The following is a 15,586-nucleotide window of genomic DNA, read 5'->3' on the forward strand; positions in this document are numbered from 1 at the left end:
TATAAATGAATGGCTTGTTTACTTCATTTCTTTCTTTTTTTTTTTTTTTTTTTTTGAGACTGAGTTTCACTCTTGTTGGGCCCAGGCTGGAGTGCAACGGTGCAATCTCGGTCACTGCAACCTCTGTCTCCCGGGTTCAAGTGATTCTCCTACCTCAGCCTCCCGAGTAGCTGGGATTACAGGCATGCGCCACCATGCCCGGCTTATTTTTTTTTTTTTTTTTTTTAGTAGAGACAGGGTTTCTCCATGTGGGTCAGGCTGGTCTTGAACTCCTGACCTCAGGTGATCTGCCCGCCTCGGCCTCCCAAAGTGCTGGGATTACAGGCGTGAGCCACCGCGCCCGGCCCATACCTCATTTCTTAAAATTTCTGGAGTTTATATAAGGTTCTAAACCAGGGATTCAAACTGAGCAAGTGACTATCTCCTATTGTATGAGTATTTACTCTTGCTTTGAAATCCTATCTTTTGTCACCGATTGTTAGGAAACTAGGCCAACACAATGAATATATGCAGAAGAAAATGTTTAGCAACAAGCTCAAATTCAAATTTAACAGAGTACTAATAATATTCTAGCTACTTACTTTAGTTCCTGAGCCATCAACAGCTATAGAATCTACACTTCCAGCATGACCTCTACAGCAGTGTAGGGCTTTCACTTTGTTTCTCTCTACATTCCACTCCCATAAGAGAATAGTCTGATCCATAGAAGCACTCAATAATAAGCAGGACAAACTATCTGGAGAAAGGAGAACACAAGAATAAGAAACAAATCAGTATACCATTTAGAATACATCATGTTCTGAAACCAAAGAACTAAATTTTTTTGTTGTTATTGAAAAAGATGTTAAAAAGATAACTCATATGGCCAGGTTTTAAAAGGCTGATGTGGTATAAAGAAAAGATTCTTCAAAAATAGATGACGATGACTGGGTGTGGTGGCTCACGCCTGTAAATACTGACATTTTGGGAGGCCAACACAGGCAGATCACTTGAGGTCAGGAGTTTGAGACCAGCCTGGCCAACATGGCAAAACCCTGCCTCTACTAAAAATATAAAAATTAGCCGGGTGTGGTGGCAGGCGCCTGTAATTGCAGCCACTCAGGAGGCTGAGGCAGGAGAATCACTTGAACTCAGGAGGTGGAAGTTGCAGTGAGTTGAGATGGAGCCACTACACTCTAGCCTGGGCGACAGAGTGAGACTCTGCCTCAAAAAACAAACAAACAGGCTGGGTGCAGTGGCTCACGCCTGTAATCCCAGCACTTTGGGAGGCCAAGGCGGGTGGATCATGATGTCAGGAGTTCGAGATCAGCCTGGCCAAGATGGTGAAACCCCGTCTCTACTAAAAATACAAAAATTAGCCAGGCGTGATGGTAGGTGCCTGTAGTCCCAGCTACTCGAGAGGCTGAGGCAGGAGAATCGCTTGAACCTGGGAAGTGGATGTTGCAGTGAGCCGAGATCATGCCACTGCACGCTAGCCTGGGTGACACAGCGAGACTATCTCAAAAACAAAACAAAACAAAACAAAACAAAACAAACAAACAAAAACAGAAGAAAATAAAAGATGAATGTAATACATTCAATATTAACTTGAAAATGTATATTATCTGATGTAATTTTAATAAAGATACACTTCTAACAATTTATGAATTTTTTATATAATCTTTTTCTTCTTGAACACTGTATTTTTTGAAAGACCTCATAATAACTGAGGTATGAGATACTTCCCACCCACTCCCCATTCTTCCCCAGCACCAAAAATGGCTTATTTCCAAATCCCTATCTAGGATTCCTCTAAGTGTAGGCAAACTGTCCTAACCTTTTTTCACCCAGGCCACATCTTTTACAACATCCGTATGTCCCACAATTGTCATTATTGACTTTCCTTCCAAGGACCAGATCCGAGAAGTCTTATCATAAGAACCAGTCAAGATCCTATGAGAAAAAAAAATCTTATGAAACACAAAAAGCAGTTTTTCCAAACCCTGAAATGTTTCTTTGGCAATGACAAAGTAACTTTGAGGATTATACTTTTAAACTCTTTTTTGATATGAAGATTGAGATTTCAAGCCATACTAGATCAGATCACTTGACGTTTCTCAACCTCCTAAAAATAATACCTGGCATGGCTGGGCGTGGTGGCTCACGCCTGTAATCCCAGCACTTTGGGAGGCTGAGGCAGGCGGATCACGAGGTCAGGAGATCGAGACCATTCTGGCTAACACAGTGAAACCCTGTCTCTACTAAAAATACAAAAAATTAGCCAGGCATGGTGGCGGGTGCCTGTAGTCTCAGCTACTCAGGAGGCTGGGGCAGGAGAATGGCGTGAACCCAGGAGGCAGAGCTTGCAGTGAGCCGAGATTGCGCCACTGCACACCAGCCTGGGTGACAGAGCGAGACTCCGTTTCAAAAAAAAAAAAAAAAAAAAATATATATATATATATAAAAAATATATATCATATATATACATAGTATAAAATTACTTTCAGGCTAGGTGTATAAGCTGTATATGAAACATAAATGAATTTCATGTTTAGACTTGGATCACATCCCTAAAATATTTCACTATGTATATGTTAATATTCCAAAACCACCCCCACCCAAAAAAAATCCTACATCCAAAATACTTCTGGTACCAAACATTTCCAGATAAGGAATACCCAACCTGTAGTACTCTTTTTTCTTTTTGAGATGGAGTCTTGCTCTGTTGCCCAGGCTGGAAGGCAGTGGCGCGATCTCAGCTCACTGCAACCTCTGCCTCCTGGGTTCAAGTGATTCTCCTGCCTCAGCCTCCCGAGTAACTGGGACTATGGGCACAGACCGCCATACCTGGCTAATTTTTTATATTTTTGGTAGAGACAGGTTTCAATATTTTGGCCAGGCTGGTCTCAAACTTCTGATCTCAAGTGATCCACCTGCCTTAGGCTCCCAAAGTGCTGTGATTACAGGCGTGAGCCACGCGCCTGGCTGTCCACCTGAAGTATTTTGTACTTAACCAGTGAAAACCATTTAAACTAAAAGTAAAACTAGGAGAAATATAACTTTATGTAATAACTCCAAGAAGGCATTCTTTGAAAGAAGCTCCTACCATAATCTACTCTTGAGTTGTTTTCCTACAAGTAAGGCCAGTGAGGATTTGCCCTAAGATATCTGTACCTTCTTTGCTGAGTCCAGTCTGCTCCTTCTAGCCCTAAAATAGTATGCTATGCATCTTTAAGGTATTAGGCCAGGAGATCTATGGCTATAAAAGTTACTTTTTTCCTTTATGAAACAAACTATATCCTTGGTCTTAAAAGCAACATAATCGAACCAAATAAATTAAATGCTCTAAGATACATGACTTATTCAGAAGACAAATATTGCTGGGTGTAGAGAAATCCCACCTATTCAGGAGGCTGAGGCAGGAGGACTGCTTGAGCCCAGGAGTTTGCGACCAGCCTGGGCAAGAGAGAGAGACCCCGTTTAAAAAAAAAAAAAAAAAGGCAACAATAATTGTTACTACCACATATTGAACAGAACAGAAAAAGAGTACCTATTAATAAATACCTGTGGTTTTTTTTTTTTTTTTTTTTTTTTTTTTGAGACAGAGTCTCATTCTGTTGCCCAGGCTTGAGTGCAGTGGGGCCATCTCAGCTCACTGCAAGCTCCACCTCCCAGGTTCACGCCATTCTCCTGCCTCAGCCTCCCAAGTAGCGGGGACTACAGGCGCCCACCACCACGCCCGGCTAATTTTTTGTACTTTTTTAGTAGAGACAGGGTTTCACCATGTTAGCCAGGATGGTCTCGATCTCCCAACCTCGTAATCCACCCTCCTCGGCCTCCCAAAGTGCTGGGATTACAGGCATGAGCCACTGCACCCAGCCACCTGTTTCTTCTTGAAGACACTGAATGAAAAGATCTTTCTGTTTGCCATGGCCACTGATACAGAGATCACAAAATTAATTTACAAATAACATTAAATCACAGAAAAATATGTATATATGGATTTAAAAAGACTGAAGGAGGTAAAAACAAAACAAAAAAAAGAGAAGGGCATTAATCTGGCAATACCATTCCTCTGCCCCTTTAATTGAACTGATCCAGTCATCATGGAACATGCATTGCTCTGGCTGGGGTGCAGTATACTTCTCCACGTATTCTATTTCCACAACTTCTTCCTAATCACAAGAGAAACCAGCAACAAGTCAGGTGGTCTAGTTTTAAAATATTACATTATGAAGATAACCCCCAATTTAATATATCTCCTTTATATCCTTCATATTAGTCCCCTTTATAACTCAGCAAATTTGGAGCCATTCAAAAAGTCAAGAACTTTATTTGACCTAACTGTAAGCTAAGAGTGATATTAGGAAATAATAGCTTGGCATGGTGACTCACACCTGTAGTCCCAGCTATTAACATTAGGAAAGCTGGGGCAGGAGGACTGCTTCAGCCTAGGAGTTCAAGTCCAGCCCAGGCAACAAAGCAAGACCCTGTCTCCTAACAAAAATTTTAAAAAGAAGAAATATTAATCGCCTTGTACAACTTATGCTGCAAATGGGGGGGAAAGGAATATAAGAAAGCCTTAGGCCAGGTGCAGTGGCTCACACCCATAACCCCAGCACTTTGGGAGGCCGAGACGGGTGGATCACCTAAGATCAGGAGTTCAAGATGTGCCTGGCCAACATGGTGAAACTCTGTCTCTACTGAAGATACAAAAATTAGCCAGGCGTGGTGGCAGATGCCTGCAATCCCACTACTTTGGAGGCTGAGGCGCAAGAATCATTTGTACCCAGGAGGTAGAGGTTTCAGTGAGCCAAGACTGTGCCATTGCACTCCAGCCTGGGCAACAGATGGAGACTCTGTCTCAGAAAAAAAAAAAAAAAAGAAGATAAAAGAAAACATTAAAATTAAGAAAAAAAGCACATTGTTTAATGGGTACAGGTCTTCTGTTTAGGATAAGGAAACAATTCTGGAAAATGGTGATGGTTGCATAATACTGCAAAGGCACTTAATGCCACTGAATTGTATACTTAAAAATGGTTAAAATTCTAAATTTTATGTTATGTATATTTTACCACAATTTTTAAAATCACAAAACAAGCAACAATTATAAGTTATATTTTTAATCATAAAAGCAATATAAGGAAACTTTGAAAATAAAAGGGAAAAATAACAGTAACTTAACCCATAGTTTTTATATTTGCCCAGTTATTTTGTGCACCAGTATTTGTACACACATATTTGCTATTCCCTTTCTTGCCAGTTCTTCCACAAATATAAAGAATGTGTTCATTTATTTCTTGAATAAAACACTCTCACAAAAAAAGAGGGCTTCAAAATTGAATATACAGGAATATACATATATATATACACACACACTATATATATTCAATACACACATAAAATATACACACAATACATAACACACACAACATATATAGCCAATATATTAAAAAGAATCTTTGCTACTAAAGATAGATTCAGTGTGATTCTAAAAGGAGTTTACCTACAATAGCCGATAATGCCTCAAGTGAAATACAGAAGATAAGAATTTGAACTTACTGATGAGATGTTCTCCATTTCCATGTGTTTGTCCAAGGGCATTCGCAGAAACTGGCCCTTAATAAGGAAATCAAACTCCACATGTTTGTGGAACTCTGAGGAAAATACATAACAAAATTATCACTCTTAGTGTCTAAAGTAATATTGGCAGAGGTATATGAGAACTCCCAAAACAAACAGGTACCTATTATCCCAGTGTGGCCTGAGTTTCTCTGTGATTTTTAAGATCAGAAATACTTTGTTCTGTTAGTATAATGTCTTTTTACTGTTGTTGGTGTAATTATTTTGGTTTAGAAAACTTTTATTATTTCAAACATACACAAAAGTAGAAATAACAATGAATCTCATCACTATTGCCCATTTTGACATCCACCAACTAATGGGACATCATCTATATTCCACCCTCCATTCCCCGGCTGGTTTATTTTAAAGCAAATCTCAGAAATTATATCATTTCATCTGTAAATACTTTAGTATGTATCTCTAAAATATAAGGACTTCAAAAATTTGTCACAATATTTTAAAATTTAACAATCACTCCTTCTAACATCAAATAGTCAATGTTCTTTTACAGTGAGCTTTCAAAAATCAGCATCCATAATCCATACATTATATTTGATTAATGTTTCTTTTAATCTTTAACAGTTCCTCCTCCTTTTTCTCCTTGCCATGTATTTGTTGATGAAAGTGGGTCATCTGTTTTGTAACATTCTGGGTTTTGTTGACTCCATCTCCAAGGTGTCCTTTAACATGCTTCTTTATCACACAAATATCCTATAAACTAGTCAGAGGTAAATGGTAAATGCCTGGTTAGATTTCAGGGTTTTTTGGGTTTTTTTTGACAAGAATATTCACAGGCAGTATTGTCTATTTCCTGTTACATCCCATCAGGATGTAAATAGGTTCTGGTTGTGTCTCTTTTTAAGATATTAAGACCCATCATAGGGCTTGGATTATATCAGTCTGATTCTATCCACCATAATGCTCCTTGTCAGTCTTTTACCTAATTATCGGGATTAACAGCTATTGAGAACCAATACTGTACTTACATTCATTTCTTTCAGAGTTGCAATATGGTAACAGTCTATACAGAAGGAATAATGTTCGGTCTATATGTTTAGAAAAATGTTACCCAACTATTTGGGTAACATACTGGAATTGCAAAGCTTCTCTTACAGGAATAATTCTTTCCTCAACAAAATACTTGCAAACCAAATTCAACAACACATTAAGAAGATCATCATGACCAAGTAAGATTTATCCCAGGGATGCAAGAATAGTTCAACATACACAAATCAATGTAATACACTGTGATGGTTAACACTGAGTGTCAACTTGATTGGATTGAAGGATGCAAAGTATTGTTCCTGGGTGTGTCTGTGAAGGTGATGCCAAACGAGATGAACATTTGAGACAGTGGAATGGAAGAGGCAGACCTACCCTCTATCTGGGTAGGTACCATCTAATCAGCTGCCAGCATGGCTAGGATAAAAGGAGGCAGAGGAATGTGGAAGGACTAGACTGGATCAGTCTTCAGGCCTTTATCTTACTCCTGTGCTTCCTGCCCTCAAACATTGAACTCCAAGTTCTACAGCTTTTGGATTCTTGGACCAGTGGTTTGCCAGGGATTCTCAGGTGTTTGGCCATAGACTGAAGGCTGTACTGCCGGCTTCCCTACTTTTGAGGTTTTGGGACTCGGACTGGCCTCCTTGCTCCTCATCTTGCAGACAGCCTATCGTAGGACTTCATCTTGTGATCGTGTGAGTCAATACTCCTTAATAAACTCCCTCTCGGCTGTGCGCAGTGGCTCACACCTGTAATCCCAGTACTTTGGGAGGCCAAGAGTTCAAGACCAGCCTGACCAGCATGGTGAAACCCCGTCTCTACTAAAACTACAAAAATTAGCCAGCCGGGTGTGGTGGCACGCGCCTGTAATCCCAGCTACTCGGGAGGCTGAAGCAGGAGAATTGCTTGAACCCGGGAGGTGGAGGTTGCAGTGAGCCGAGATCGTGCCACTGCACTCCAGCCTGGGCGACAGAGCAAGACTCCGTCTCAAAAAAAACCAAAAAAACAAAAAATCTCTCTTTCATATATACATCTATTCTATTAGTCCTGTCCCTCTAAAGAACCCTAATATATACATCATATCAACAGAATGAAGGACAAAAAGCATATGATCATTTCAATTGATGCTGAAAAAGCATTTGATAAAATTCAACATCCTTTCATGATAAAAGCCCTCAAAAAACTGGGTATAGAAAAACATACTTCAACATAATAAAATTCATATATAATAGACCCCCATACTAAATGGGGAAAAAACTGAAAGCCTTTCCTCTAACATCTGGAACATGATAAGGATGCCCACTTTTACCACTGTTATTCAACACAGCAATGGAAGTCCTAGCTAGAGCAATCAGATGGAAGGAAGGAAGGAAGGAAGGAAGGAAGGAAGGAAGGAAGGAAGGAAGGAAGGAAGTGAGGGAGGGAGGGAGGGAGGGAGGAAGGGCATCCAAATTGGAGAGGAAGATGTCACATTATCCTTGTTTGCAGATGATTTGATCTTATATTTGGAAAAATCAATGATATAACGTTATATTTGATATAATCTTTATTTTACCAAAAACCAATTAGGACTGATAAATTCAGTAAAGTTGCATGATACAAAAATCAGTAGCATTTCTATATGCTAACAGCGAACAATCAGAAAAAGAAATCAAGAAAGTATTTCTACTTACAGTAGCCACAAATAAAATACCTAGGAATTAACCAAAGAAGTGAAAGATCTCTACAACAAAAACTATAAAACATCGATGAAAGACATTGAAGAGGGCTGGGTGCAGTGGCTCATGCCTGTAATCCCAGAACTTTGGGAGGCTGAGACGGGTGGATCACCTGAGGTCAGGAGCTCGTGACCAGCCTGGCCAACATGGTGAAACCAAGGCTGTACTAAAAATACAAAAATTAGCTGGGCGTGGTGGCAGGCACCTGTAATCCCAGCTACTCAGGAGGCTGAGGCAGGAGAATCGCTTGAAACCGGGAGGTGGAGGTCGCCATGAGGTGAGATTACGCAATTGCACTCCAACCTGGGCAACAAGAGTGAAACTCTGTCTCAAAAAAAAAAAAAAAAAAAAAAAAAAGAAAAGAAAAAGAAAAAAAGAAATTGAAGAGGACACAAAAAAATGGAAAGATATTCCAGGATCATGGATTGGAAGAATTTAATATTGTTAAAATGTCCATAGTACCCAAAGCAACCTACAGATTCAATGCAATCCTTATCAAAATACCAATGACATTCTTCACAGAAAAAAAAAAATCCTAAAATTTACATGGAACCACAAAAGAACCAGAATAGCCAAAGCTACCTTAAGCAAAAAGAACAAACTTGGAGGAATCACATTACCTGACTTCAAATTATACTACAGAGCTATAGTAACCAAAACAGCATGGTACTGGCATAAAAACAGACACATACACCAATGGAACAGAATAGAGAAGCCAAAACAAATCCACACATCTACAGTGAACTCAAACCTACACTGGGGAACAGCCAGTCTCTTCAATAATGGTGCTGGAAAAACTGGGTATCCATATGCAAAAAAAATGAAACTAGACCCCTATCTCTTGCCACATACAAAAGTCAAAACAAAAGGGATTAAAGACTTAAATATTTGTAAGACCTCGAACTATGAAACTAATACAAGAAAACATTGGGGAAACTCCCCAGGGCAGTGGTCTGGGCAAAAATTTCTTGAGTAATACCACACAAGCACAGGCAATCAAAGCAGAAATAGACAAATGCGATCCCATCAGGTTAAAAAGCACAGCAAAGGAAACAATTAACAAAGTGAAGAGACAACCCACAGAATGGGAATAATTATTTGCCAACTACCCATCTGACAAGGGATTAATAACCAGAATATATAAGGAGCTCAAAAAGCTCTGTAGGTAAAAATTTAATAATCTGATTAAAAATTGGGCAAAAGGTTTGAACATACATTTCTCAAAAGAAAATTCAAATGGCAAACAGGTAAATGAAAGGGTGCTCACCATCACTGATCATCAGTGAAATACAAATCAAAACTACAATGAGATATCATTTCACCCCAGATAAAATGGCGTTTTTCCCCACCCCTCCCAAGACGGAGTCCTGCTCTGTCACCCAGGTTGGAGTGCAGTGGCACGAGCTCGGCTCACTACAACTTCCGCCTCCCGGGTTCAAGCAATTCTCCTGCTTCAGCCTCCTGAGTAGCTGGGTTTACAGGCACCTGCCACCATGCCTGGCTAATTTTTGTATTTGTAGTAGAGATGGGGTTTACTATTTTGCCCAGGCTGGTCTCAAATTCTTGACTTCATGATCCACCCACCTTGGCCTCCCAAAGTGCTGGGATTACAGGCGTGGGCCACCACGCCAGGCCAAAATGGCTTTTATCTGAAAGTCACGCCATAAAAAATGCTGGTGAGGATATGGAGAAAAGGGACCCCTCATAAACCTTGGTGGGGATGTCAATTAGTACAACTACTATGGAGAACAGTTTGGAGATTCCTCAAAAAACTAAAAATAGAGCTACCATATGATCCAGCAATAGCACTGCTAGGTATATACTCAAAAGTAGAGAAATCAGGAAATCAATACTTCTACACAATGGAGTACTATTCAGCCATAAAAAAGAATGAGATCCTGTCATTTACAACAACATGGGTAGAATTGGAGGTCATTATGTTCAGTGAAATAAGCCAGGCACAGAAAACAAACTTTGCATATTCTCACTTATTTGTGGGAGCTAAAAATTAAAACATTGAACTCATGGAGATACAGAGTAGAAGGAGAGTTACCAGACACTGAGAAGGGTAGTGGGGGAAGTGAGAGGCAAGTGGAAATGGATGGTTAATGGGTACAAAAGAATTGAAAGAATAAATAAGATCTTGTATTTGATAGCACAACTGGATGACTATAGTCAATAATTTAATTATACATTTAAAAACAACGAAGAGTATAATTGGATTGTTTGTAACACAAAGGATAAATGCTTGAGGTGATGGATACCTCATTTACCCTGATGTGATTATTACACCTTATATGCCTGTATCAAAATATCTAATGTACCCCATAGATACACCTACCACGTACCTACAAAAATTAAAAAGAATATTTCTTATTCTAGTTCAAAGACTTGTTCAACAAATAGACTATATAACAGTTTTGAAATTTATAAAGGTAACTATGCATCAGAATCTCTATATATCCATGATGAAAACAAAAACAAGGAGCAACAGGAAATGCTATGTAAATATCCTTGAATATTGAATATTGAACTGTAACTAGCAATAAAAAGATTGCAAACCCTGTCCCCTCCTCCCCCACCCCAAGCCAATAAAGTTGCTCAAAAACATCACCTCAAATTTCACAAAAAAATTATGTGATTATTTGAAGACGAAGATGGGGAAAATACTACACATTAGTTTATAACTCTTACCTCCTCATTCCTCCAACTACGGTAGAGTCAGAAGAGCTCTGCAGCATTGGAAACATCTGCATAAAAATACACTTGCCTCTGGCTGGGCATGGTGGCTCACACATGTAATCCCAGCACTTTGGGAGGCCCAGGAGGGTGGATCACCTGAGGTCAGGAGTTCGAGACCAGCCTCGCCAAATGGTGAAACCCCGTTTCTACTAAAAGTACAAAAAATTAGCCAGGCATGGTAGCGGGCACCTGTAATTCCAGCTACTCTGGAGGATGAGGCAGGAGAATCACTTAATGTTTCATGTTTAAATTTTCTCTATTTTATGTAATGTTTCTTTACTTTTTAAAAAATACTTTATTATAGAAAATTTCATACATATGGAAAAGTTCAGAAATATCAATCAAAACTACAATGAGATACAGAAAATAATATAAGGAGCCTCCTTACACCTATCACCAAACTTCAACATTTTTTTTTTTTTTGAGACTTCCTCTATCACCCAGGCTGGAGTGCAATGGTGCGATCTTGGCTCACTGCAACCTCCGCCTCCCGGGTTCAAGCAATTCTCCTGCCTCAGCCTCCTTAGCAGCTGAGATTACAGGCATGTGCCACCACGCCTGGCTGATTTTTGTATTTTTAGTAGAGACGGGGTTTCACCATGTTGGTCAGGCTGGTCTCAAACTCCTGACCTCGTGATCCACCCGCCTCGGCCTCCCAAAGTGCTGGGATTACAAACTTCAACAATTATTAACTCATAGCCAATCTTATTTCATTGATATTTTTACATACATTGTTCATATTAATTTAATGGGCAAATAACTTATATTAGTACAATAGTATATATTTAATATTTGTATCTTTTAAATGTTTTATATTCTTCCATGTTTTGTTATATCCTTTTTTTATGAATTCTGGACACAAAAAATAAAATACTGGTATTCATACTGTCATTTTGATATTACACTAAACACTCAAATACTGATATTGTCATTTTGCTTTGTGCTTCACTAGTAAATGGGGCCTAAGCACTAAAACGCTTGTTTTATGCCTGCATAACTCAGCCCTCTGTAGAACAATCAATGTCTTGATTACCTCTATATTACAACTTTATACCAAAATCTTTATTCCTTAACTACAACCACCATATTTCCACATGGCCTTAAAAACAGATTAAACAGAAATTTTTTTCTGAAAACTTTTCTTTCAAAGCAGTATTTACAGTATCATCCAGCAGAAGAACCTGTACTTTATAACTTACAAATTTTACCACTACAAAATTCATACAGTATCATAAGGCCAAAAAAGGAACTAAAAACTTAATGCATTTTAGAATAATTAGGGACACTGTGCCCTCTCCTAAGCATATATACCCACCATTTTTGTCCTTTAGTAGTTTATTGATGATGTTACTAAGGTCGGCAATTTCAGAGGCAGCAGGGATTGAGAAGGGAACATCATCTACGGCATATCTATAAAAAGGAAATGATATGTCAAGATCAAGTCTACAGATATTTGAACAAACATGCTTTTACGAATTCAACATACATTTATTGGGTAAATAAATGCCAGACATCCAGACATTTTGCTACATGTTGTAAACAAAAATGAATTAAAACATGGTCTCTGTTCTAAGATGAGGTTGAAGTTTAGTAATCAAATAGAATGAAGTTATATAAGAACAATGCCATTAGGTGACATGTATAAAAAGAACAAAGACACCATAGGTCATTTTAACCACAGAAAAGGAGGGCAGGGGAGCAGGGCCAGAAACGATCCACAGAAAAGATAACTGTTAAGCAACATTTAGAAAAGTGATTAGCCAGGCGTGGTGGCATGTGCCCGTAGTCCCAGCTACTTGGGAGGCTGAGGTGGGAGGACTGCCTGAGCCCAGGAGGTCGAGGCTGCAGTGAGCTGAGATTATACCACTGCACTGCACTCCAGCCTGGGTGACACAGCAAGACCCTGTCTCAAAAGAGAAGTGAGTTTTTGCCAGGTGAGGGAAGGGTAGGCTGGAAGAAGCAGTGTGGACGAAACCAGAGAGAACATCAAAACAATAGCTAGGAGTTGTTAAACTGCCCAGCCACTTCCAGAAAATCTGACTTTGCTCCAAAGTGACCAAAGGCTAAAGAGATACACATGGAGTGCTTTATATATCATGTGAAATCATTTTTACTTCTTTTTTGTGGGTAATGAAGAACTATCACAGCAGTGCAAATTAGAAGTATCATCAGATTTTATTTAGTTAGATCTTTCTGGCTGCACAATGGGCACTGAAATAGAGGAACACATGACAGGAGGCAGATTAGGAGACTCTTATAAGAGAGACTGTGAGAAAATATTTGCAAATCATGTATCTAATAAGGAACTTGTATCTAGACTATATTAAGAACACTTACAACTCAATAATAAAAAGACAACACAAATTTTAAAATGGCCCAATAGGGACATGCAAATGCTCATCATTAGTCATCCAGGTAATGTTAATCAAACACAATGAAATATAATTTCACATCCACTAGGGTGCTATAAGTAAAAAGACAGCTAATAACAAGTGTCAGTGAAAATATGGAGCAATTGGAACCCTGATTATTGCTGGCAGTAACGTAAAATGGTGCAGTTGCTTTGGAAAACAGTCTGGCAGTTCCTCAAAAACTCAAACATGGAATTACATCTGACCCAAAAACTCCACTCCTAAGCATATATGCAAGAGAAACGAAAACATACATCCACACGAAAACTTGTACGAGTGTTCACATAACAACTATTCATAATAGCTAAAAGGTATAAACAACCTAAATGCCCACCAGCTGATGAATGGAAAAATATGGTACCTCCATTCAATGGCCTATTATTTGGCCACAAAAAGGAATGAAGTGCTAATATATACTATGATATAATGAAACCATTTTTTAAAAATCATAGTAAGTGAAAGAAGCCAGTCACAAAAGATCACATTATATAATTCCATTTATTCAAAACGTCCAGAAGAGAGAAAGTTACAGAGCTAGAAAGTAGATCAGTGGTTGCCTAGGGCTGGGGGTATTATTTAACAAACAGCTCAAGGATGATGAAAAATGTTCTAAAATTGACTGTGGTGATGGTTGCACAACTTTGCAAATATGATGCTGATGATCCTCAAACCACACTTTGAGCAATAAGGCTATAGCTATATATTTATGTATATAATTCACATATATGTATATTCTTGTGTGTGTGTGTGACAATTATATTAGCCCCCCGCCTCCATTTTACTGACCATAATATTAAGCAAAAAGAAAAAGCAAGAATTTTATTATTTATTTATTTATTTATTTATTTATTTGAGATAGAGTCTCACTATGTTCCCCAGGCTGGAGTGCAGTTGCATTGATCCTGGCTCACTGCAACCTCTGCCTCTCAGGCTCAAGAGATCCTCCCACCTCAGCCTCCCAAGTAGCTGGGACCACAGGTGGGCACCACCATGCCTGGCAAATTTTTTGTATTTTTGGTAGAGACGGGGTTTCATCATGTTGCTCAGGCTGGTCTCAAACTCCTGAGATAAGCGATTTGCGTTCCTCAGCCTCCCAGACTGTTGGGATTACAGACATGAGCCACAGCACTCGGCAAAGAATTTTAATTTCTACATTTTTTTACCTTTTGGAGGGCCTAAATTCACACACACACATATGACATGTATCCATTCATTTCAGGGGTTAAAACACAGTGGCCTATTATCTCTTACAACTTCATGTGAATCAACAATTATCTCAAGGCTGGACGCAGTGGGTCATGCCTGTAATTCCAGGACTTTGGGAGACCGAGGTGGGCGGATCACTTGAGGCCAGGAGTTCGAGACCAGCATGGCCACCAAGACAAATTCCTGTCTCTACTAAAAATACAAAAATTAGCCAGGCTTGGTGGCACATGCCTGTAATTCCAGCTACTCTGGAGGCTGAGGCGGGAAGATTGTTTGAACCCGGGAGACAGAGGTTACAGTGAGCCAAGATCCCACCACTGCAGTCCAGCCTGGGCAACAGAGTGAGACTCTGTCTCCAAAAAAACCAAACCAAACAAACAAAAAAAAGCCCCACATATTTCAAAAAATTTTATTTTAAGAAAAACAAAAAAACCTACTTTCAATTAAAAAACACAGTGGTTATGTTAATGCATCACCACATTCCTAGAGAAGTATTAAGGCAATGTATGTAAGTAAGTACATATACTCAGGTGCATTGATAATACGATTTATGTATACTTTCAGCAACAACACAAGGGGAGAGAAGATGATTTACTAGCTCTCCTCATAAAGCTACAAACAAAACCACAGATGTAACTCAGGTGGGAGTTTCCTAGTTTATGGCTAACTTTAGCTTATTAACACGACAAATATTATCATTTTCACTGAAAAATTTGACATTTTTTGTTGACTCAGCCAATCCAAGAAGCTTAATTAATATATAGTCCCTGCCCTCAAGAGACTTCCAATATAGTTGGAAGAGACCAGGCAAACACAAAGAAAGCTAACAATGCAATATATACCACAAGGCAGCATATAATTAGTTTTCGAATGAGTGCTAACAGACCTTGAGACCACTGGTTA

The 15,586-nt window shown here is 39.1% G+C and overlaps 1 protein-coding gene across 2 annotated transcripts in view; it reads right to left on the reverse strand.

The window, feature by feature from the left end:
- WDR12 (WD repeat domain 12) overlaps positions 1–15,586 on the reverse strand; it is a 37,413-nt gene that overhangs the window by 21,223 nt on the left and 604 nt on the right. The window contains exons 2-6 of one of the 2 annotated variants that reach the window (NM_018256.4): positions 12,382–12,476; positions 5,542–5,636; positions 4,048–4,154; positions 1,817–1,932; positions 582–736 (exon numbers count right to left, since the gene is read on the reverse strand). In NM_018256.4, coding sequence (NP_060726.3) covers positions 582–736; positions 1,817–1,932; positions 4,048–4,154; positions 5,542–5,636; positions 12,382–12,476 — 568 coding nt within the window. The remainder of the gene's footprint in view (positions 1–581; positions 737–1,816; positions 1,933–4,047; positions 4,155–5,541; positions 5,637–12,381; positions 12,477–15,586) is intronic. The other variant, NM_001371664.1, reaches the window with a different exon arrangement.

This window comes from Homo sapiens, chromosome 2, assembly GCF_000001405.40.
Source record: "Homo sapiens chromosome 2, GRCh38.p14 Primary Assembly".
Classification (NCBI taxonomy): domain Eukaryota; kingdom Metazoa; phylum Chordata; class Mammalia; order Primates; family Hominidae; genus Homo; species Homo sapiens.